At 36.1% G+C, this 24,948-nt stretch overlaps 1 annotated feature.

The window, feature by feature from the left end:
* Positions 24,737-24,826: an enhancer, noted in NCBI's record as "active region_5494". NCBI's record gives its function as "activates an Ori minimal core promoter by ATAC-STARR-seq in GM12878 lymphoblastoid cells {active_cell/tissue: GM12878}" and the evidence as "EXISTENCE:reporter gene assay evidence [ECO:0000049][PMID:35858748]".

Consider the following 24,948-nt stretch of genomic DNA (forward strand, 5'->3'; position numbering starts at 1 on the left):
AGTAAGCCTGGCTAGAGGCTTATCAATTTTATTGATCTTTTCAAAGAAACAGCTTTTGGGTTGGTTGATTTTCTCTATTAATTTTCTGTTTGCAATTTCATTGATTTCTACTATAATTTTTCTTATTTCTTTTATTCTGCTCACTTTGGATTTAATTTGCTCTTCTTTTTCTACTTTCCTAAGGTGGAAGCTCAGATGATTGATTTTACATCTTTCTTTTCTAATACATGCATACAACGCTATAACTCTCCCTCTGAGCACTGCTTTCGCTGTACTTCACAAATTTTGGTAAGATATGTTTTCATTTGTAGTTAGTTCAAAGTATTTTTTAAATTCTTTTGAGATTTCTTCTTTGACCTATGTGTTATTCAGAAGTGTGTTGTATAATCTCCAAGTATTTGGGGATTTTTTATCTTTCTGTTATTGATTTCTAGTTTAATTCCACCATGGTTTGAGAGAAGACATTTTATAATTTCTATTGTTTTAAGTTATATTTTATGATCCAGAATGTATTCTATCTTGTTGGTTGTTCCATATGAGCTTGGAAAAATGTATATTCTGCTGTTTTTGGATGAAATAGTCAATAGCTGTCAATTTTGTCCAGTTGATTGACGGTGTTGTTGAGTTTAACTGTGCCATTACTGATTTTCTGCATGTTGGATCTGTTCATTTCTAATAGAGGGGTGTTGAACTCTCCAACTATAATCATGGATTTATCGATTACTCCTTGCAGTTCTATCAGTTTTTGCCTTATGTATTTTAATGTTCTGTTGTTAGGCACATACACATTAAGAATTGTTATGTCTTAATGAAGTTTTGACCTCTTTATAATTATGTGATGTCCCTTTTAATTCCTGATAATATTTCTTAATCTGAAGACTGCTTTGTCTGAAGTTAACACAGCTACATCAGCTTTCTTTTGGTTAGTGTCAGCAAGGCATATCTTTCTTCATCTCCTTACTTTTTTTTTTTTTTTTTTTTTTTGAGACAGAGTCTCACTCTGTTGCCCAGGCTGGAGTGCAATGGAGAGCAATGTTGGCTCACTGCAACCTCTGCCTCCCAGGTTCAAGGGATTCTCCTGCCTCAGCCTCCTGAGTAGCTGGGATTAGAGTTGCTCACCACCACACCCAGCTAATGTTTGTATTTTTACTAGGTATGGGGCTTCACTCCATGTTGGCCAGGCTGTTCTAGAACTCCTGGCCTTAAGTGATCTTCCCACATTGGCCTTTCAAAGTGCTGGGATCACAGACATGAGCCACCATGCCCAGCCTCTTCATCTCTTTAATCTATAATATGCCTTTATATTAAAGTGGGGGTTTTGTATCCAACATGTAATTGGGTTTTGCTTGTTGATCCATCTTGACAATCTCTTTCTTTTAATTTGTCTGTTGAGACCATTCACATTCAAATTTATTGTTGATAGATACAGAGAAAGATGGTGGAAAAGGATTTTCCAGCAATTATCCCCCTGCAGAAATTTCAATTGGAACAACTATCCAAGCATAAAAATGCCTTCACAAGAGAGAAAAAACAAACAAAGAAATGGGAGATGACAGAACCTGGTTGTAGCAAAATAATAAGAAAAGATGTATTGAAGAAGGCAAATGGGACACTTACACATTATCTCCATCACCCCCGCCTAACCCCAGGCAATACAGCATAGAGAGAGAGAAAGAGAGAGACACTGTCCACTGGGTAAAAGAGAGGGCAGTGAGCACAAGACTGCCTTGAACCCCAACGCTGGGCCTATTGTAGTAAAACTCAGCACCAGGCAGACCCCCACAGTTTCATATTTCAAACCAGTACCCATGGATTGAGCCTAAAGACTCACTAAAATGCCAGGCTGAACTACATAGACATAAGCTTCAAGCTTATGACAAACTCTAACCCCAGACCACACAACAGCCGGCCAACATCAGTGGCCCTGGGCTCCAGACAGCCCTCAGCATCAGGTAGGCTTCAGTGGTCCCTAGGCTTCAGGCACATTCCATTGCCATGCTGGCCGTATCTAACCCAGGCTTCTGGCCTGCCCAAGTGCCACACCTGCCAAACAGGCCCTAGGCTTCTGGCAGCACTGTGCCAGCTGCAGCTACCTTGAACTTCTAGTGTGCCCCAGCACCATACCTGCTACAGGGCCTTCCTAGACAAAACCAGTCTGTAAAAATTGGAATAAGGACCTAGTCTTTCAAATACTCAGACATCAACACTCAACCACAGAATCAAGAACAATCAGGAAAACATAGCATCACTAAATGGACAAAATAAGAAGACAGTGGCTTTTTATTGAAATTGAGATATATGAACTACCAGACAAAGCCATTCAAAACATTCCATCCAACAGCTATAGAATACATTCCTCTCCACTGGATATGGAACATCCTCCAGGTTTGATCATATGTTAGGCTACAAAACTATTCTTGACAAATTTAAGAAGATGAAATCATATCAAGTATCTTTTCTAACCATAACCGTATAAAACTAGAAATCAATAAGAGGAGCAATTTCTGAAAACTCACAAATATGTGGAAATTAAACAACATACTCCTGAACAATTTTAATGAAAAAATGTTAAAGAAATTTTAAAATTGTGGGGACAAATGAAAATGGAAACACAACATATCAAAACCTGTGGGATACGGCAAAGCAGTTCTAAGAGAAAGTTTATAGCAACAAATAAATACGTAAGAAGAAAAATCTCAAATACACTACCATTGCACCTCAAGGAACTAAGAAAAACAAGAACAAACTAAGCTCAAAGTTAATGGAAGGAAAAGGCCGGGTGTGGTGGCTCATGGCTGTAATCCCAGCACTTTGGGAGGCTGAGGCAGGCAGATAACTTGAGACCGGGAGTCAAGACCAGCCTGGCCAACATGGCAAAACCCCATCTCTACCAAGAAATACAAAAATTAGCTGGGCATGGTGGCACGTGCCTGTAGTCCCAGCTACTTGGGAGGCTGTGGCATGAGAATCACTTGAACCCAGGAGGTGGAGGTTGCAGTGAGCTGAGATCATGCCCCTGCACTCCATCCTGGGTGATAAAGCAAGACTCTGTCTCAAAAAAAAAAAAAAAAATGCACACATACACGGAATAAAATAACAAAAATCAAAGCAGAAATCAATGAAACAACTAGAAAAATGAGAAAAGATCAACAAAACTAGGAGTTTCTTTTTTGAAAAGATAAACAAAATCAACAAACCTTTAGATAGAATAAGAAAAGAGAGAAGACTCAAGTAAAATCAGAAATGAAAAAAGAGATATTACATACTGCATTATGGAGAAATAAAAAATCTGAACAGACCAATAATAAATAAGGAGATGTAATCAGTAGTAAAGAGTCTCCCATCAAAATTGTGGATTTATTTCTATGCTCTCTATTCTGTTTTTTTTGGTTCATGTGTCTTGTTTTTATGCCAGTACCAAACTGTTCTGATTACTATAGCTTTGTAGTATATTTTGAAGTCAGATAGAGTGATGTGTCCAGATTTATTCTTTTTGCTCAGGATTGCTTTGGCAATCGGGGTCTTTTGTGGTTTCATACAAATTTTAGGATTATTTATTTCTGTGACAAATGTTATTGGCATTTTGATAGGGATTTCATTGAATCTGTAGATTACTTAGGGTAATATGGACATTTTAACAATATTAATTCTTCCCATCCATGGACACAGGATATCTTTCCATTTATTTGTGCCTTCTTCAATTTCTTTCACCAATGTTTTACAGTTTTCAGTGTAAAGATCTTTTACTTCTTAAATCTGTTCCTAAGTATTTTATTTTTTGGAGCTATTGTAAATGGAGTTGTTTTCTTGATTTCTTTTTCAGATAGTTCACTAGTAATGTATAGAAGTGCTACTAATTGTTTTGTATATTGATTTTGTATCCTAAAAAGCTCAGGACCTGATGGCTTCATTGCTGAATTCTATCAAATTTTTTTTTAAAAAACCTAATACCAATTCTTCTCAAACCATTTCAAACAATTAAAGAAATACTTCCAAACTTATTTTAAGAGGCCAGCCCCACCCTGATACCAAAGCCAAAGACACTACACAAAAGAAAACTATAGATCAATATCCCTGATTAACATAGATGCAAACATCCTTAACAAAATACTAGCAAACTGAATTTGACAGTACATTTTAAAAAATCATTCACCCTGATCAAGTTGGATTCATCCCAAAAATGCAAAAATGAGTCAACAGACATAAATCACATTGACAGAACCAATGAAAAAAAACATATAATCATTCCAAGGGATGCAGAAACAGCAGTTCACAAAATTTAATACCTTTTCATAATAAAATCTCTCAACAAATTAGGTATAAAAGGAATGTACCTCAATACAACAAAGGTCATACATGACAAACCCACAACTTACATCATACTCAGTGAGGAAAAGTTGAAATCTTTTTATTTAAGATCCAGAACAAGACAAGGATGCCCACTCTTACCACTTCTATTTCATATAGTACTGGAGCTCCAAGCCAGAGCAATTCGTAATAGTGAATAAATCTCATGAGATCTGATGGTTTTATAAAGGGGAGTTCCTCTGTATGTGCTCTCTCTTGCCTGCCACCCTGTAAGACAGGCCTTTGCTTCTCCTTTGCCTTCCACCATGATTGTGAGGCCTCCCCAGCCATGTGGAACAGTGAGTCCATTAAACTTCCTTTCTTTTTAAATTATCCAGTCTCAAGTATGTCTTTATTAGCAGTGTGAGAACAGACAAATACATTACCCAAAGCAATCTACACATTCACTGAAATCCCTATAAAAATGCCAAAGACATTTGTCACAGAAATAGATAAAAACAATGCTCAAATTTGTACGAAACCACAAAAGACCCTGAGTAGCCAAAGTAATCCTGAGCAAAAAGAATAAATCTGGACACATCACTCTACCTGAATTCAAAATATACTACAAAGCTATAGTAATCAAAATAATATGGTACTGGCATAAAACTGGATACATGGACAAAAAAAAAAAACAGAAAAGAGGTCCCAGAAATAAATTCAAATACTTACAGTCAATTGATTTTTGACAAAGGCACTAAGAACACACATAGGGCAAAAACAGTCTCTTCAATAAACAGTGCGCAGAAAACTGAATATCCACAGGTAGAAGAGTAAAACTGGACCCTTATCTCACACTACATACAAAAATCAACTCAAAATGGATTAAAGACATAAATCTAAAACCCAAAACTATGAAACTACTAGAAAAAGACATAGGAGGAAATCATCATGACATGAATCTAAGCAATTACTTTTTGGATATGACCCCAAAAGCATAAGCAATAAAAGCAAAAATAGACAAATGGAATTATAAAAACTAAAAATCTTCAAAGCAAAGCAATCAATAGAGTGAAGAGACAACTTACAGAATGGGAGAAAATATTTGCCAACTATATATCTGATTAAAAAATTAATATGCAAATTATAAAAGGAACTCAAACAACTCAATAGTGAAAAAAAAAAACTCAATTTAAAAATGGCAAAGGATCTGAATAGACATCCCTCCAAAGAAGATACAAATTGCCAAAAGGTATGCGAAAAAACGCTTGTCACTAAGCATCAGGGAAATGCAAGTCAAAACCACAAAGAGATCTTCTCACCCCACCTAAAACAGCTGTGATTAAAATGACAAGAGATAACAAGTGTTAGCAAGAGCAGAGAAAATGCAATCCTAGGACACTGTTGGTAGAAATGTAAATTAGTAAAGCCATAATGGAAAATAGTATGAAGTTTCCTCAAAAAATTAAAAATAGAACTTCCATATGATCCAGCAATTCTACTATCGGTAGGCATACAAATAAAATGAAATCAATATGTTGAAGAGATATCTTCACTCCCATGTTTATTGCAGCATTATTCACAATAGCTAAGATATGGAGTCAACCTAAGTACCTATCAATGGATGAATAAAGAAAATGTGGTATATATGCACAATAGAATACTGTTTAGCCTAAAAATAAGAAAACTCTGTCATTTGTGACAACATGGATGAACCTGGAGGACATTATGTTAAGTGAGATAAGCCAGGTGTAGAAAAACTAATACCACATGATCTCACTCATATATGGAATCTGAAAAAGTTGATCGTATAGAAGTGATAATGGTGGTTATCAGGGACTGGGATGGATGTGGGATGGAGGAGTTTGAAAGATGTTGGCTAAAAGATAAAAAAATTCAGCTAGATAGGAACAATAAATTCAGGAGATCTAATATACAACATGGTGACTACAGTTAATAATATATTATGTTCTTGAAAAATGCTATGAGAATGCTGTAACCTGTTCTCACCACAAAAGTGATAATTATGTGGGGTAACACATAGCCTAATCAGCTAGATTTAGTGATTCCACAATGTACATATCAAAATATCATGTTGTACCTAATAATACATGCAATTATATCTGTTCATTTTTAAAGATAAAAATGGAATTGACTGTTGATAGAATTGAATTAGTATCTTTTTGAAAGTTTTAACTGTTAAATGTAAGGACTACAAAGTGCAATTTTGTTACATGATATATTGTGTAGTGGCCAAGTCTGAATTTTTAATGTACCCATTACCCAAATAATGCATACTGCACCCATTATGTAATTTCTCATTGTCCACCTCCCTCCTACTCTGAAACCCTTCTACATCTCCAGTGTCCATTATTCCACTGTATTTGTTACTCTGTCCTATTTGTTGCCTTTGCCCTTTTTTCTGTTGATAAATAAATAAAATGTTTTATATTCATCAATGGAATATTATTTTGTAACAAAAAGAAACAAAATTCTGTTACATGCTGTAATATGAATGAACCTTAAAAACATGTTATATGAAAGAATTCATTCACGAAAGACCACATGAGGTATCATCTCTGCTATGGTTTGGATATTTGCCCCCTCCAAATCTCATGTTGAAATTTGATCTCCAGTGTTGGAGTTGGGGCTTAATGGAAGGTGTTTGAATCACAGAGGCAGATCCTTCAAGAAGGGTTAGGTGCCATCCTTATGGTAATGAGTGAGTTTTCACTCTATTAGTCCTGTGAGAGCTGAGTGTTCAAAAGAGTCCAGCACATCCCTCTCTCTCTTTCTTCCTCTCCCTCCATGTGATCTCTGCACATGCTGGCTCCCCTTCCGTTTTGCCATGATTGGAAGCAGCCTCAGGCCCTCACTGGATGCAGATGCTGGTGCCATGTTTCTTGTACAGCCTGCAGAACTATGAACCAAATATATTTTTTTCTTTATAAATTACCCAGCCTCAGATATTCCTTTGTAGCAACACAAATGGACTAAGATAATCTCATTTATATGAAATGTTCTAAATAGGTAAATCTATAAAGACATAAAGTACATTAGTAGTTGCCTCACATTAAGCAGGGGGCAGAAATGGGAAATTACTATTAATGGATAAAGGTTTTTGAGGGGGGAGGTGACTAAAATGTTCTAAAATTGATCACAGTAATACCTGCAAAACACAATGAATATACTTTAAAGAGCATTGACTTGTACACTCTAAATGAATGAATTGTATGGTATGCGGGTAATAGATCTATAAATCTCTTCTTTCAAAAGAAGAAAAAACATTTTACATCACAACTCAGCTCTCTTTCCATCTTTCTCTCTCTCTCTCTCTCACACACACACACACACACACAAAATATTCAAAGTTTTACAAAATAGCACTTACCCTTTATAGCCCTCTATTATTTTGTATTCTATTTTATTCTAGTTCGTTAAAAAAATTTCTTGATCTATGTTCTGGTTACATAGTGCTGCATAACAAAACTTAGAGCTTAAAAACAACATGTTAATATTATTTCAAGAGTTTCTGTGGGTCGAATGGCCCCACTGGGTGGTTCTTGCTTGGAGTTTTTCACGCACTTGTAGTCAGAAGGCTGAGGCTGCAGACTTCTGAAGATTCATTTGTGTTGGATATCCTAGAGGACTCATATGGTTGGCAATAGATGCTGGCTGGCAGCTGGGAGCTCAGATCTGGTTGTTGACTAAGCAGCTATACTTGGCTTCTCCATGTGGTCTGGGTTCTCACAGCTTGGCATCTGGGTTCCCACAGAGAGTGTCCCAAGAATGAGCTTTGCAAGACACCTGAGCGGAACCTGCAAGCTTCCTTATGACCTGGCCTCCAAAGTCCCAGAATGACACTTCTGATGCCTTCTATTGGCCAAACCGATTACTAAGGCCAACCCAGATTCAAGAGGTAACACGGACTCCTTTTTCTTAATAATGAGAGTCAGAGAATGTGTGATCATATTTAATTTTTTTTTTTTTTTTTGAGATGGAGTCTCCCTCTGTCACACAGGCTGGAGTACAGTGGTGGGATCTCGGCTCACTGCAACCTCTCCTTCCTGGGTTCAAGCGATTCTCCTGCCTCAGCCTCCCAAAGTAGCTGAGATTACAGGCACTTGCCACCACACCCAGCTAACGTTTGTATTTTTAGTAGAGATGGGGTTTCACCATGTTGGCCAGGCTGGTCTCGAATTCCTGGCCTCATGTGATCCACCCGCCTTGGCATCCCAAAGTGCTGGGATTACAGGTGTGAGTTACTGCACCCAGCTGACCATATTTAATTGATCACAACTCAGTCGATTGATTTTAACACTCACTAATGGGTCACAACTTGCTGTTTGAAAAATATTGCTCTAATCTGAGGAGGTGATGTCTCTTCTAGTACTAACATTTCTTGAGTCTGAGAATTAATTAGATTTCATGTCTGGCTATGAAATTAGTAACTTCTCACTAGAAAATAGGCAGAGGGAAGAGGAGCAGTACAAAGCAAGAGGTACGGCAAGGCCTGATGGCTGTGGTCAGATTACTCCCTGAAAGGAGACGGCATTGTCTGTTCTCCACCTTCCTGCTGCTTCTATTTGGGTCCAGGTAAATTTAGGCCAAATAATTCACTAAAGGGCCGCATGCAGTGTGGAAAGATGTATGAAAGTCAGCAGTGACTGACTTTGGCCAGTGCTGTGTGTGGGGGAGAAGGGAGTATACAGACCTTCAGTGAGGCTAATAGACTAGAAGAATCATTGAGAAACACTCATATTCTTTAATGCTGTCCCTGGACTTGGCTGGTCATGGCAACAACATTCTTAGTAAAATTGTTTAACTGTAAGATTTTTTTTAAAAAGCATTTTTTATACAATCTCTGTAATATGGTATCAATGTGTATTATGTCTTAATTTATAGGGTGAGTAATCTTTGTCTATTGAAACTCCAGGAATACTTGCTATGAACAGATGTTTCCTATTCCCTTGGCTTATCAATGCAAAACTAAATAGAAGGCAAAGGGTCATTAATCAAGCCAAAATAAAAGGGACAGGCAGAAACACTGTGAATTTGTGGATCAACAAGAATTTTGCTAAGCCAAATCATTTGGAGAATTGATTTGCAAGCTAAGGTAAGCTGCTTACGGGAAGGAGTCTTAGTCAATCCAAATCATACCCATATGATTAACTATAACACGAAGAAAGGAAAAGAAGGAAGGAAAATGTTCTCTTTCTGTAATTTTATTCTGTTGGGTATTATGAGATGTTCCTAAATGGACAGTCAAACTTCTAAATGACCATGTAATTCCCCATCTCTGCATGGCAGGAAGAAGAAGAGTATAAATATGCAAAAGCTGTTCCATTTCATGGTCGCATGGATACCAAGCAGATGGGTAGATGAACATGAAACTATTCTTTATAAACATTGAGGGCCCCTGTCAATCCAAGCTGTATCCATCTGGCTATACAGCTACAGCACTGCTTTATCTAAGAAAGACAAGAGTGGATTAGAGAAAGCACTATTGAGAGAGAAATCTGTTTGATCTTTGGAGACTAATTAATATTAACATAATAAAATAGCTTTCAATTATATAAACTTTGGATTATGCACTCCTGTGGATGAACTCTGGATACTGAAAATCTTTGGATAATGTATTTAAGTGGTCCATTTAATAATCCCAGTGCTACTTACTAGCAAGCTACTTAAACTCAAAGATTCCACTTTCTTATCTATAAAAAGGGGATGACATTAATACTACCTGATAGGGCAAGCTTGTCGAACCCACAGCCCACAGGCCGCCTGCAGACCAGGATGGCTTTGAATGTGGCCCAATAAAAATTGGTAAACTTTCTTAAAATATTAGGAGATTTTTTTTGCCATTTTTTAAAGCTCATCAGCTATTGTTAGTGTATTTTATGTGTGGCCCAAAACAATTCTTCTTCCAATGTGGCTCAGGGAACCCAAAAGATTAGATAACCCTGTCCTCCCGTCTTAGGGATTTTGTGAACGTGAACTGAAACAATGTTTGCAAAACATTTTGCACAGTGTGTGGCACATAATAAATGTTCAACAATTATAAAAGTAATTATTAGTAATTTTATTGTTGTCTCACCACTACCTGCTCTTCCTGGGAAATAATTTCTAGCCCTTTTTCCCCTTTCTTTCCATTCCAGTGTCTTATCCAACATTGTGAACTCTTCATTGCTCTTTGCTTTTCAATCAATAAAAACGCATTTTCCTTCTATGAAGTCTCACTGTTGCCCAGTAAGCCCAGAGAAAGAAAACTCAGATGTTAAAAAAGGATAGAGTGTCTGAATGCTTTTTTCACAGGTGACTACTGTATCACTGTTTTCTCTTTCAATCTCTCAGAAGTTGCTGTGGCCTCAAGAGTCCTTTGGCCATTACTTTTTTTTTCAATAATTTATCCCAATCACTTGAATAATTAAGATGGTGAAATCTGATTATGTGGTATTGCATACTCTTAGAATTTAAGATAATTTAGAGTTCAAATGGCTCATTCTCCTCCATCTTCCTCTGATCCATTACCCATTCCCGGCACCAGCCTCTGGCTTCCATGCAGAATTCTCTCCTACAGAACTTCTGGTAGATGGTTCTCCAGCTTTTGTCTAAATGCCCCTCTGCCTTATGAGGCAAAGCCATTTCCTTTTTAGACAGCTGAAGTTGTTATTGACTTCTTCTTTAAACTGAGCCCAAATCTAACTCCTTCTCAATAGTCTTCTTTCTGACTTCGGGAGCATGAGAGAGAGAGAGAGAGAGAGAGAGAGGGAAAGAGGAGAACCTAACTATTCTTTCACATGGTGGCCTTCCAAATATTTGAAAACATTTATTCTGTCTTCCTCTAATCTGATTCAAGCAGTATCATGCTCTGATCCTCCCTCTTACATATGTGAAATAATCCCCTAGCATTTTACCGCCCTATCACCCTTCTCCTAAATGCCCTTTTTCTTTAGCTCTACATGGATATATTTTTATACATAGCACCTAAGGTTTGAAGCAGTATTCTACTTACAGCTCAACCAGAGAAAAGCAGAGTGTGTTACGCTTCCCTGAGGAAACACTGCTTCTATTCGCTCAACCTAAAAGGGCTTTCAGAGCTACTTCATTTTGTTAGTAAAATTAACAGGCCACAGAACTCCCAAATATGAACTTCTTCAAATCATGTGAACCTTACCTATCCTGTAATTGAACACCTGGATTTAATGTACAGCTGTCCACAGAGAAGTCTAAGTTTTCACAAAACAGTTAACAATTTTTATATAACTAAATCCTCATCATTTTCTTGCTTGGAGTCAGACAATAGCTTCCAAATACCATCACATTAGGGATTACGGTTTCAACATATAAATTTGGAGGGTTACATATTCAGTCTCTAATACTACCTTTCCAGCATCATCTCCTCCTGCTCCTTCATAGTGAACACTTGTTCAAGCCTCAGTGAACTTGAAAACTCCTATCCTTTCAGGGTTTTGCCAAAGTTTGCGCCTCCTCTGTGAGTCATAGCGTGGTATGTACTTACTTATCAGTGTATGAGTTTTGGAGCCAGACAGACTTCTGTTCCTTGCTCTACCACATCCTAGCTTTGGAAACTTAGGCACATTTTTTTGACCCCTTTAATCTTTAGTTTCCTCATCTTAAAAATTGAGAAAACGTAATACTGCACAGGGCTATCATAAGGATTAAATGATATAATGTGTATGGTGGACATCAGTCAGGTTTTCTGTTTATCTAGCATATTTTGAGCACCTATGCTGTGTATAGAGTGCCCAGTCTTATGAGTCCTGTCTATTCATGTGAAAAAAAAAAAGAACACTCCAGCCTCATTACAGCTGGGGCATAGGCATGTAACTGAGGCTCCAGCAACCACATTTACTCACCTACCCTAGACTTCAATCCTAAAGAGGTAGCTTGAAGAAGGATGCATATCACGGCGATTATTTTGTTGATGATGCTGTTAGAGACACTTTGTATTTCAGGGGCTGAGTGGTAGCCAGACTGAATCCTGATACAGCAGTATCAGTCACGGTGATGGCCGTATTCACTGGAGCCAGTTCTGCAGCAAGGTTTTAGATATTGCTCCTAGAAACTCAGTCTCAGGCCTGGCTCTTCAGGCAAAAAACTATACAATGTCTTTTCCTAATATTTTATATATATATTTATATATTATTATATATGTTTCATATATTAACATTTAACTTATATATAAGATATTATATATAATAAGATATATTATAAGATATAGTTATATAAATATAAAATATATATATTATTTATATATGATATATATCATATTATTTATATAAGATAAGATTTTTATATATATATATATTAGAGGCAGGTTCTCATTCTGTCACTCAGGCTGGATAAAACTCCTTTTCTGCATGATCATAGTCTGCCTCTGTTGCTTGCAACTATGACCCTTGACTGATGCAACAAGGTATTTAAAATGGTGCTTTACATAAAGAAAGTGGATACCAAAAGTTCTTTCCTCTATGATGTTGGCCCAAGGCCAGTCATTCCTCAAGTTTCCAGAACACTTTGACATACCTCCAGTGGATGCCTATCACTGTGAAACTATGGGTATTTGCACACATGTTTGTTGATACCTGGACTGGGCCTCATTGAGGGCAGGAATCCCATCTTACTCACTTCACATCTTCAGTGCCCAGCAAAGGACCTGGCAAATCGTGAGTGTTCAATAAATGTAACTGAGTGCACTGTTCAATCGTGACTCTACCTAACTGTACTTCATTCAGTCTACAGTCCATTTGATGTAATAAAATATCCTGAGAAATTTTGTCAAACACTGAGCTGAAATAAGATTGCTAGGACTACAGCATTTCCGCCAAGCCAGCAACATATTAAAAAAAAACAAAATGATGTCTGTTTGGCAAAATAGACTTTAAATACATACACACATACACACACACACATTTTTATTTCTCAACAAAACAAGATACACCCTCCTTGTAAGAAGATTGAGAAATTCAAAAAAGTATAGAGATGAAACAAACATTAGTTATAATCTTATTACCCAGATATAATCTGGGTTTTTTTGTATTCCGATTCAATCTTTTTTCCCAGATGTATTTTTGATAGCTGAGATCATAAAGTTATATTTACAGCTTTGTATTTTATATTTTACTTAAATTTTTGTCATAAAGTTTTCTCAAACCTCCAAGTATTTTTGCAAATATCATAATGTGTCATATAGATTACAAGGAGGATGTGTTTAATGGAATGATTTGCAAGCTGTGCTGTCAAAGTCATAGAGTTCTTTGGAGTTCTCTCTGCAAGATCTACTGCAAAGAGCCCAGGAAGGACTCGGTGGGTGGACACACTCCAGACTTTGCCATCCTCAGAACAGATCTGCTAAGTGTCTTAAATATTACAGTTCTAAGTAAGATTTTGTTACTTAGAAAGTAACAAAAGACTTGGAAAGACTTCCATTGGATTTTCTCAAAAGTTTGAAAATCTCTAATTATCATTCCAGCATTATTTAACGTTCAGGTTATTTCTAGGTTTTTGATAATATAAATAATTCAGAGATCAATTTATCATACTTACCTAATTTTTAAAATTTCCTTAAAATAGAATCCTAAATTGTGAATTAATGAACAAATCTGGAAGTGTGAAGGCCCGTAGTATATATTTACAATTTTCTTTCCAGACAGTTATACTGATTTATGTTCCTGCCAACTGTAAAACACAACCAAACTCTAGTACTATTGCAATCTTTTTCAGTCTTTTGCTATTTTCCTGCTTCTTTTTTCTTTTAAATTTATTTTTAATAGACAAATAAAAATTGTATATGTTTATTATGTATAACATGTTGCTTTGAAACATGTATATATTGTGGAATAGGCTAAATTGAGCTAATTAACATGTATTACCTCACAAACACCGTTTTTCAATGATGAGAATGCCAAAAATCTGCCCTTTTAGCAATTTTCAAAAACATAATATGTTATTAATTATAGCCACCATATTGAACAATATATCTCTTAATTTTATTCCCCTCATTTAACTAAAATTTTATCACTATTAAAAGGCAAAAAAACTTTAATTAACTTAATTTGCATTCAAATAATTTTTCCCATTAATTTTCCATGATGTCTTATTTATACACTGAAGTATATTTCCGAGTTTTTTTCTGATGTTCCAATGATCTTTGTGTCCAGTTTTGTCCTGGTAGCACACTATTTCAGTTATTATAGTCTTGTAATATGTTTTGCTTTTAGGAACCAGAAGTCTCATTCTATTTGTTTTTTGTAATTTTATTAACAAAATTTCTTTTGGATATTCTTAATACTCCTCTAGAAGAAATTTAAACTATTCTTTTCTGCAGAGGAAAAAAAGTCATTGAGATTTTCATTGAAGTAACACTAAAATATTAAATAAATTGTAAGAATTTACATATTTAAATGTTAGGTATTCTCATCCAATGGCATGGCATATTTTTTCAAATACATAAGTCATCTTTTATATCCCTTATTAATATTTTGCTGTGTTACTTCTCTAGGTTCTAGTTTATTTCTTACAAGCATGCACATAGGTAGATTAAGTTTTGTTGCTCTTGTAAAGGGCATTGTTTCCATTATGATTTCCAGTTGTTCACTTCTAGTATATAAAAAAACTACTGGTTTTTACACATTTATTTTATATCATAAATATTATAAATCAGGTTTGCTGAAAAACTTTTTTATGAACCTAAGTTCATTCATTATTTATTCACTGAGCATCCCTCTCTGCCAGACAGTATGAATATTCTTATCCATCTACATTTTATTCCTGCAGGTTTGTAAACCAGATATTTTTAGAATGTACCTTAAAATTTTCTACAAAATCAAGCTCTAATCCCTTGTTATGGCTTCCAGGCCAGGCCTTTTCTATCTCAGTTCTAGCCTGTCCTTCCAGGTCACCCCATGCCATTTTCTTCCACACATCCTCCACCCCACCTACTCAGACGGACACTGTAATTCTTTCATAACTCCATTATGCATTTTTGCCTGCCTGTGATGCTCTTTCCCACTTGATTACTGGGGAATTCCTATTCATTATTTAGAGACTAACTCAAACGTTACCTCCTGTCTACAGCTACCCTGACCACATATTCAGACAGAATTAATTTCTCTCTCATTTGTATTCACATAGCAGTATACACATGCCTCCATTATGATACAGGTCACATCATATTCTACTTATTTTTTCACATCTCTGTCTCCCCTTAAGAGGCTGTGGCTTCCTTCAGAGCAGGATCAATATCTTACTCATCTTTGTACCCTCAGTAGTCAATTTTTTTTGGAATAAGTAAGATAATCAGTTAATTTATTATTTTATGATTTGAATAGAAATTAGTGATTTATTGTTTCTGGAACCTACCATTTTTTCTCACTTGGAATTGTGACATTCTCTCATTTCTATCCATGTGAGTCATCTGACATTCTCTATGATTTCCAAAAGATTATCATTCATAGCCCTGAGGTCACATCTAAAATCTCTTCACTGTTCTATAAAATCAAGTATCTGGAGCTAGAACTTAAATAATTTGGATTAGAACTCTAAGTGTCTACTAATGCCCTGCATACATCTTTGGCTTAAGTGTCTTGTTTGTGATGCGGAATTTTCCCTTTTTAATAGAAAGACCATCTTACTTGTTCTAAAATGGAAGGAAAATGGGAGTGAAAATCAATTAATTCAAGTATTTATTCAGTATATATTTATTAAAATATAATTCATGAGAACATAGTCTATCTGGGGCAGTAGGTATAAGCACCAAAGTAAAGGCAGAATATGACAAGAGCTATGCCAGAGGCATGAACACGGTGCCATGGAAAAGAACAACCGATTTCCAGCTGGGAAAAAGATTTCTAGCTGGGAAATAGATTTCTTGGAAGAGATAGATTAAGCTTAGGTTTGTAGGTTGGGGAAAGAATATTCCAGGCAAAAGTGTTCAGCCTTTCTTAACTGTAGTTTAAAATATAAAAGAATTTATTTTAACAAGGATGTTTGTCAATTAATTAAATGGTGGTCAAATAACAATACAAGAAAAATCAAATATTCTTTCAATGTTTTGTTTCTGTAAATAACACCTCCACCCACCCAGTTGCTCATCCTAAAGTTCATCCTTGACACCCTCTTTCCGTATCCCCAGTCTGCTCTCAGTCACCAAGGCCCACTCAATCTAACTCCCAAATGTCTCTCAAATATGCCAATTGTTTATGATACCCATTGCCACCACCCAAAGCCTCCTCTTTCTCCTGAACTGCTGACATAGCCACCTAATCAATCTCCCAGATCCACTCTTGCTGCCTTCAAGCCACTTTCCATACTGAAATAACAGGTCTCTTTCATAAAATGCAAGTCATATCAACCCTTGTCTTAAAACCCTCTAGTGGCCTCCCATTGTCCTTAAACACAGTGGGCTATAGTTTTTTCTTCTTTATATGGTTCTTGGGTTTTTTAATAAGTAAACTTAATTTTGTAAATACACAAGTTGTTTGGAAGTCAGTGAGTAACAGTGCAAAGATCCTATAATTTAAAGGCAAAGGACCTAGGTTCATGTCAAAGTTCCATCACTTAAAAGATGTATGACCTTGGGAAAGTTACTTAGCCTTTCTAATTTTTTTCTCATCAGTAAAATGGGTGTAATAACGATCCCCATATAACATATTGGTACAAAGAATAAATGAAATAATATATGTAAAAAAATTCTGCAACCTATAACCCATTATGCAAATGTTGCATAGTAACAATATCATCACCTAATAAGAAACATCTGCTAGCAGGTAAATGAAGAAAGCATTACTTAGGACATGAAAGAGTTAGCATGAACTAATAGTTGGGAAAAGCCCAAGTCCAAATACAGAAAAAAAAAATTTAATGAATTACTTTTAATATGCAGGAGATAAAGGAGTTCAAGACAGTGTAAAAAACGAGCCAAATGCTAAATATTTAAGGAGTGAGCAACATGAAAGATTAATCACTTACTTCTAAAGAACCTGAGATTGTACTATATTTTTTCTTCTTAATTTTTTTTATTTTACACCTTATTTGGAATATAGCACACTATTACTGATATTTTTTAATTACTTGTAAATATTTCAATATTATCGTCAGTATTGTGGGCAGGTGAGTATTATTTTTCTTTGAATGGGCTATTTTAAAACATTTACTGCATTGCTGACTATAATTTAATAATGCCTGAAGACAGATTTTTTTTCCTACAGGACTAATCCCCAATTCAATAATGAAATTCAGCAGGAAAATTTAGGGTTGCTTTAATGGAAATTAATTTTATGGCTTATAAAGAAAACAGAAATGCATTTACCTCATCAAACAAGAGACAAGTGTACTTGGAAAACCTTTTCTCCATGTGACATGAATACCAAGCAGGTTGAATTGATGAAGCAGCATTTAGCTAACCATGCTACTTTTCCTCTTTTATATTCTCTCTGCCTTTAATTCAGGTAACAGTGGAAAGCTGGAACTTGGCCATTTTCCTGCACAGTCCCCTTATGCAGAACCTTTTTCCGCTGAGGTGAAGGAATTCCTCTGCTGCCATCTAGTGCTTCTTAGAAAGACCTTTGCCAGTTTTAGTCAGATGGGTTGGTTTATATTTAGCTCCAAGTGTGGGATGGAGGGAAATGGGGGTGGGAATGGCAGAAAACTAAAACTTTTTTAGACTTTTTTTTTAAATCTATTGCATTAATTAGTAAGAGATTCTGAGTCACAGAGAACATTTATGGGCTTCTGAGCTAAATGTTTTATTTGCCTTTTTATATGAGCTACTTGAATACTGTATAAAGACTTGACAGAATTTCAAGTTCAAAAGATTGATGAGAGAGGTTGGGGTGAGCAGCCTCTCATTTCTTAAATTGTTCCATATAAGCATTTTTTAATGTACTGACATTCATAAAGCTGCTCAATCCAGAAGCCTGGGAGTCATCTTTGACATTTTCTTCTCCCTCATGGCTCCATCATCCATCCAACACAATAACACACACACAATAACACACAAACACAAATACACACACAAACTCTAAAAACGGTGGATTCCAGCTCCTAAAAGTCTCTCAAATCCATCAACTTCCTCGATTACCATTGACATTACACATGATATAACCTAAACATACTCATTAACATGAATTGGAATCATCCTTTACCCTCCTAATTTATCTCCTCATATCTAATATTCATGCAGCAACCAGAAATAACTTTGTTTAAAAAAAAACAAATGAAAAAATAAATTTGATCTATTGAAGTCCTGCTTAATATTCTTCAGTGATTTTTCTTTGATTTTAAGATAAATTCCAGACATTTTAACATAACCTAAAAATCTTTATGTGATCTGACCTCTGCCCAGATGATCTCCTGCCATTCTCCATCCATCCCTGTGTCACTGACACCAATCCTCTCTATTTATCCAAAGGACTAATCTTCTTATAGCCTCGGGGCCTTTGAACATGCTGTGCCCTGTGTCTATTCTGCATTCTGTCTTCTCACTAATCACAAGCCATCTTTATACTTTGTTACTTAATATCTATTTCTAGGCCAGGTGGGATGGCTCACACCTGTAATCCCAGCACTTTGGGAGGCTGAGGTGGGCAGATCGCTTGAGGTCAGGAGTTCAAAATCAGCCAGGTCAACATGGTGAAACCCTGTCTCTACTAAAAACACAAAAATTAGCCAGGCATGGTGGCTCACACCTGTAATCTCAGCTGCTACTTGGGAGGCTGAGGCAGGAGAATTGTTTGAACCCAGAAGGTGAAGGTTGCAGTGAGCCAAGATCGCACAACTGAGCTCCAGCCTGGGAGACAGAGTGAGACTCCAGCTCCAAAAAAAAAAAAAAACCCTATCTCTAAGCTCAAATTTTAAAGCCTATGAAGTCAGGTAACAAGTCTGTCTTATTCATTTCTATATTCAGGCCAAGATTGGCAATTAGTAAAAAATTTGCTAAATGAGTTAAAGAATTCATTATTGCCTCCTATAATTTTCGATTATTTTAAACAAGCTTCTTGCCTAAAGAGTAAGCTCCTCAAGGCAAACAGTCATCAAATTCTAATAAGACCTAAGGTTGGAGACAGTGGCAGAGATGACTCAGACATGACTTGACAACGTAGTGGTGATAGAGCATGTAAACAAGTAACTGTAATACAACATTCAGAAGCGCCATGACACGCAATCTGCACACGTTTCTTTGAAAACAAGGAGGAGGAAGGGTTCATTCAGCTTAGCTGAATCCGGGCAGACATGGAAAAGAAGGTAAAATTTAAGCTGAAGTTTTGACGAACAAGGAAGAGTTCACAAGTAGCAAATCGGTGAAGGATGACTAAGGGGGTAAAGAAGGATGGCTAAGGGGGTAAAGTCAGAGACATGAGAAATAAACAATGGTATAGTGTAGGAAAAGGATGGACAAATGTCTTTTTCTCCACGGGAACCTCCATCCCAGTTAATTAAATGCATAAATAGACATTTAATCAACACTTGTGATTTGACTTTTGGAGAATGGTGAGAAATGTGGGAGTAACAATATTTATGGTATCTTGGCAAAGTCAGAATAAGAGACTAAATAGAACTAGCTTTCTTCCATCTTTAATATTCAACAACATTGAAACAATTGTACTTGATACTACTCTAAGGAAATGCCAATAAAAACATCATTGCCTGAGCTCCCCGTGTGTTTGATCAAATGAGCTTACATTTGAAACCTCTCTGAAAAAGGGTTGTAAAGGGTTGTGAGCTCCAGCTAAACATGTACTCACAAAATTAAACCTAAATTTTTTCCCCGGTGAACACCATTCTCTAGAGATATCTTCAAGTTGGCACTCCTTTTTTCTCTAGCTTCCTGTATTTCTGCCCTGAGAGGATGAGAGAGTGGCATTCTCTTGGCTCTCTGCTAACACCTCTAAGCCAATCTTCAATCACCCTCCTTTGAAAGTCAAGTCATGTCTTTACAGCACCTTTTACTACTCTTTGGCATGCTTTTATCCAATAATAATAAGCATCAGATTTCTCTATTCTTAACTATTATTTCCTAAATCAAAACATAAATATAGATTTAACCAATTAATTGCACTTAAGAAATCTAGTCTCACTCTAAATCTCTTTTGCTTAGAATTAAGTTCCAGAAAGCCAATCCCTCATTGTTTCCTCAATTTTTGGAGAATTGAAAATGTCAACAAAGGAAGTCAAGTTATTTATATTTCAAAAAGAGAAATGTTTAGTACTATACATACATTCTCAATTGTCTAAATAAGATACAAGAAAAAAATCACATAATTGCTGTTTATATGGAAAAAATTGGAGGAAGAGACCCTGTTTATGCAAAGTTTCTCTCTCTAAAGTAGCAAATTAAGCTCCTAGTAGTAGGCAAGAATCAAGAGCAAATTGCAAAAGTGTGATGCTTTGCTTATGTAATGATTTTAAGTAAACAGAAAACAATTGAAAGCCATAATTATGGGTATCTTAGGTAAAGAACTTCTACTGTTTTCATAGTTAGGACTCACCATTCTTTTGTATGATTTGGTTCTTGCTTCCACGCATCCAGTTAATATTAGTGAAATTTATTAGAGAAAGCATTATATATGCTGTACTGAAGACAAACTATCACATTAACGTTGCGTTTATGTCTATGCGTGAGAATTGTATTTCTGTGCCTAAGAACTTTGGGGTAGGATTCATTATTCCTGCTCTGATATTGACACTCTCTCTTTCAACAGAAATGGACCTTTTACAATATTGAATGGATCTCAGAGAAGACAATGAGGGAGGCTATAGTTCTCTAGGACTGAGAGAACAGCTTAGCACATGGGATAGGATTGGATTGAACATCACAGGCATGAGTTCTCAGCCCAACCCTGCCTCAACTGGCTACAAGGCTTTGGACAAGTCCCTTGAGAAATGGAGTCTGGGCCTAGAAGGAGAAGATGGCTCCAAGAGTCCTTCCAGCCTCAAACTACCAGGCTATTCTTCCAATATTTAGGCTAGAAATACTTCAGTTTTCAGGATCTAGCCTTCAGCTGCAACTGATGGCTAAAATGAAGGAGCACTTTAATGATTTAAGAAGCTATTCAGTTGTCATAAAAAAGTAATTTTGTTTCTTCCAAAGCTCCAGATTAGTATGGAGATTTTTCTGCTGAGTCTTATTTTTAAAAGGCATTATGCACATCAAGACTGACATAGCCATAAGGAATTGTAGAAATTTTAATATCTGTTGATGTGGATGAGAAACTAAAATTTCCATATTTAAAACTGTCATTTGACTTTTAAATGGATCACATTAAATTACTGTCAGAAATGTTCAATATTTTCTCATCTATATACGATTGTTTCTTGGTAGATGAAAGCTGCAATCTGGTTTCTTTGGCTACATGGCCATTTTTTCAGTTTGTCCCCAAACTTGCTACCAAGCTTGTCCCCAAAGCAAGAGGATGAGATTAAGTGACTGTGGTGTGTGTGTGTGTGTGTGTGTGTGTGTGAGAGAGAGAGAGAGAGAGAGGAAGAGAGGAAGAGACTGAGAGGAAGAGAGAGAGAAATAGCAGCAGCAAGGTAAGATAATATCTCAAAAAGGTATATTTTATTTATTTTGTCTGTTTTTGTTTTTTTTGAAGAAAGGTATATTTTTAAAATAAGGTTATTTCCCCAAACTATATGAATTTTTTAAATGACACACATAAGGAGAATATTTAAAATAAGAAGCCCAATAATATTTTGTTCAAAGACCTTCCAGTTGCATTTTTGTATATTTATAATGTAGCAATTGGGATTCAGGGAGTCAGGATTGATTTTTTTTTTCACCCAACATTATGAGAAAAAGTGAGAAATACATAATCCTACCTTAGCCCTCTTAGGCCAAATACAAAAAAAGAAAAAAAAATAGAAATGAGTTAAAACCTAATTTCTGTTCGGAATGTAATGTTTTGTGAAAGAGATGCAGACTTGGGGGGAAAATATTATTTTTGAGAGAACTGTAGAGGTAATTTGCAAATCAAAGCAGATGTTACTTATACTTTGTCTCATTTTTTTGTTACCATCCCTTTCTCCAACAGATCCAAGCATAGTTATCAGCACATATTAGGTTTAAATATTTCTTGATTGAGTGCTTGCTAAAAGTAATAAATATCCAAACTTAATTAGCAATAAGTAGTTTATCTAAATATCCAGCTAGAAAGAAGATGGAAAAGTGTAATAATTCTTGCAAGAGAAGGAAGGAAGGAAGGAAGAAAGGAAGGAAGGAAGGAAAGGAAAGAAGGAAAGAAGGAAAGGGAGATGAGGGAGAGGGAGGAAGAAGGAAAAATATCTTCATCTAATTAGGAAAAAAATAAACCTGGGTAGCTTCTATGTTCTTAGATTAGAGAAAGAAAATGGAAGTAAAGAAATTAGCGTTATTTGAATCTCTATTGTGTGCCAGATACTCAGCTAAGTTTTTGGATTTTTTTAAATTTGATCTATAGCTATTTCTATCTTCTCTCTGATGTAAGGATACCTTAGAGAACTAGAAATCAGAGAGAAGAAAAGGGAAATGATTAAGTTGATATCAGAACCTACAGAAGTCTTACCACTTACCAAACCAGAATCCTCAAAGTTGTGGATAATTTTCTAGAGATTTTTGACACCAAAGTAAACTTTAAATGTGTGATAAAACATTATTTAGTTAATTAATCATATACTTAAGCTTTGAAGTTAATGGTAAGTACAGCCTATACATTTTTCTTAACTGTTTAATTCTTTAAAAGATTGTCTTTGCTAGTAACTTTTAAGGCCTAATTATTTTAATCGAGTTTTGAAAAATATTAAAAGTTAAAAAGAATTGCAGAGGAATATCAAAGGAAAACAGTAGGTTATAGAAGACTATGTATTCATTAAAAGCTTGATAATTCTTGCCTCTGCCTGGTAGGATATTAGGTAATTAAAATTTATTTGATTTGCATATCTGTGTTTTACAATAACTATATAATGCTTTGGTAAATAAAAATCATAATTTAAAAAAACAAGTGGCATGGAGAGAAAACAGAGAGAAAAAAATGGTGCCCAGCTTTATTCCTTCCATGGTATAGGGTTTTAATAAAAAGACTGAATAAAACTGCAAAAAATTCCTGAGACAAAACACACAGGGCAGCGCAGGAGAACAGGAAAGAAGAAAATACAGAAAAATAGACCCAAATGTTTCAATAAACTGTCCCGCCACACTAAAAAATGGGCAGCAGCAGAGGTTGCCACATGCATCTACAGGCAAAGAGGAGGAACAACGATTGGGATTATTCTAACCAGATTTTTCATGAAACCTTCTGTTGTAGCTGGCCTAAGTGGAACAAATGTGTCTGTGCCTTTGTTTCAGAGTATTTGTACTCCCTAATTTTTATAGCTCTTTCCACATCTTTACGTGCAATAACTCCACTGATGATGTCATACTGGTCTTCCTCAGTTTCTACAAATATAGCCAGCTCTTTCTCACAACATGGCATTTGCACATGCCATTCCATCTGGAACAATCCATTCTCCCATCCTCTTCAATGTTTCTCCACAGCAAGTTCCCAGTCAAACCCAGGTCTCAACTAACATGTCACCTCCTCTGAGATTTTGCTGATCACCCTACTCCCCGACCTGAAGTAATTGAAGTAATGCAGTCACACCACTATACACACTCCACCACCCTCAACTTTGCTTCCCTAACTTAACTCCTGCATCATTGCCTTCAAAACCCTTAGCACAATTTGCAATGACTTTGTTTGTTTGTTTCTGTCTTCCTCATTGGAATGCAAAGCCCATGAAGTCAAGAACACATTTGTCATCACAGTTGTGCTTCCAGTAGACATATGGTTGGCACTCAACAAATATTTGGGAAATAAATGAATGGTCTCATAGTAACCTAGCGCAGTACACAGAGCACGAATTATTATCCCCATTTCATAGGTAAGAAAATCTCAGAGGTGCTTCAAGGACTTGCCCCAAAACACACAATCAGGAACATAACCTCGGTCTTTTTACTCAAGTTCAAGATTTGAGTCAGCCTTCTAGCTAGGTGACACTGGGCACTTTACATAACCTCCATGTTTCTGTTTCTCCATCTGAAAAACAAGAAATAAAATAGAAACCTACTTCATGGTTGTTACGAGGATTAAACAAGGCTTAGAATGTATTTCCATTGGGAAATACTTAATTTCACAGAAAAATGTTAACAGTCTGATACTAGATCACAGATCTTGATGGAGGCAATAGGTTTGTATTCATAATATATATAGGATGGGCTGCACTCAGGAGAATCGAGAAGTTTTGTGGCACAGGGAAGTTTTTTTAATAATGAAAGTGAGGCTGAGATGTCAAAGGCAAATGAGTACCTCACAATTTTGCATCTGGGTGGCTGTCTACCAATCATAACCTAGGTCCCGTCTTGGAGCCCATGGAAGTTGGCTTGTTTTACAAATCTTGAAAATTCACCTATGAACATCAGAGGTTGCTAGTTATGGCCTGAACTAAGAAAAGGGTCTATTTTCTTGAGCCTTAATTTGTGGAATTACAAGACATGCTTTTGCTTCATTCGGTAGCGCAGGCTCCGACCACTAGAGGGAACTGCTCCATCAGTTGTATGAGACTCCAGGCTTCCGCATTCCTCTGGCTGTGACTGTGGAGTATTGTTTCGTAGCAATTTCCTCAGAA

The sequence above is a fragment of the Homo sapiens genome, chromosome 11 (assembly GCF_000001405.40).
Source record: "Homo sapiens chromosome 11, GRCh38.p14 Primary Assembly".
Lineage (NCBI taxonomy): Eukaryota > Metazoa > Chordata > Mammalia > Primates > Hominidae > Homo > Homo sapiens.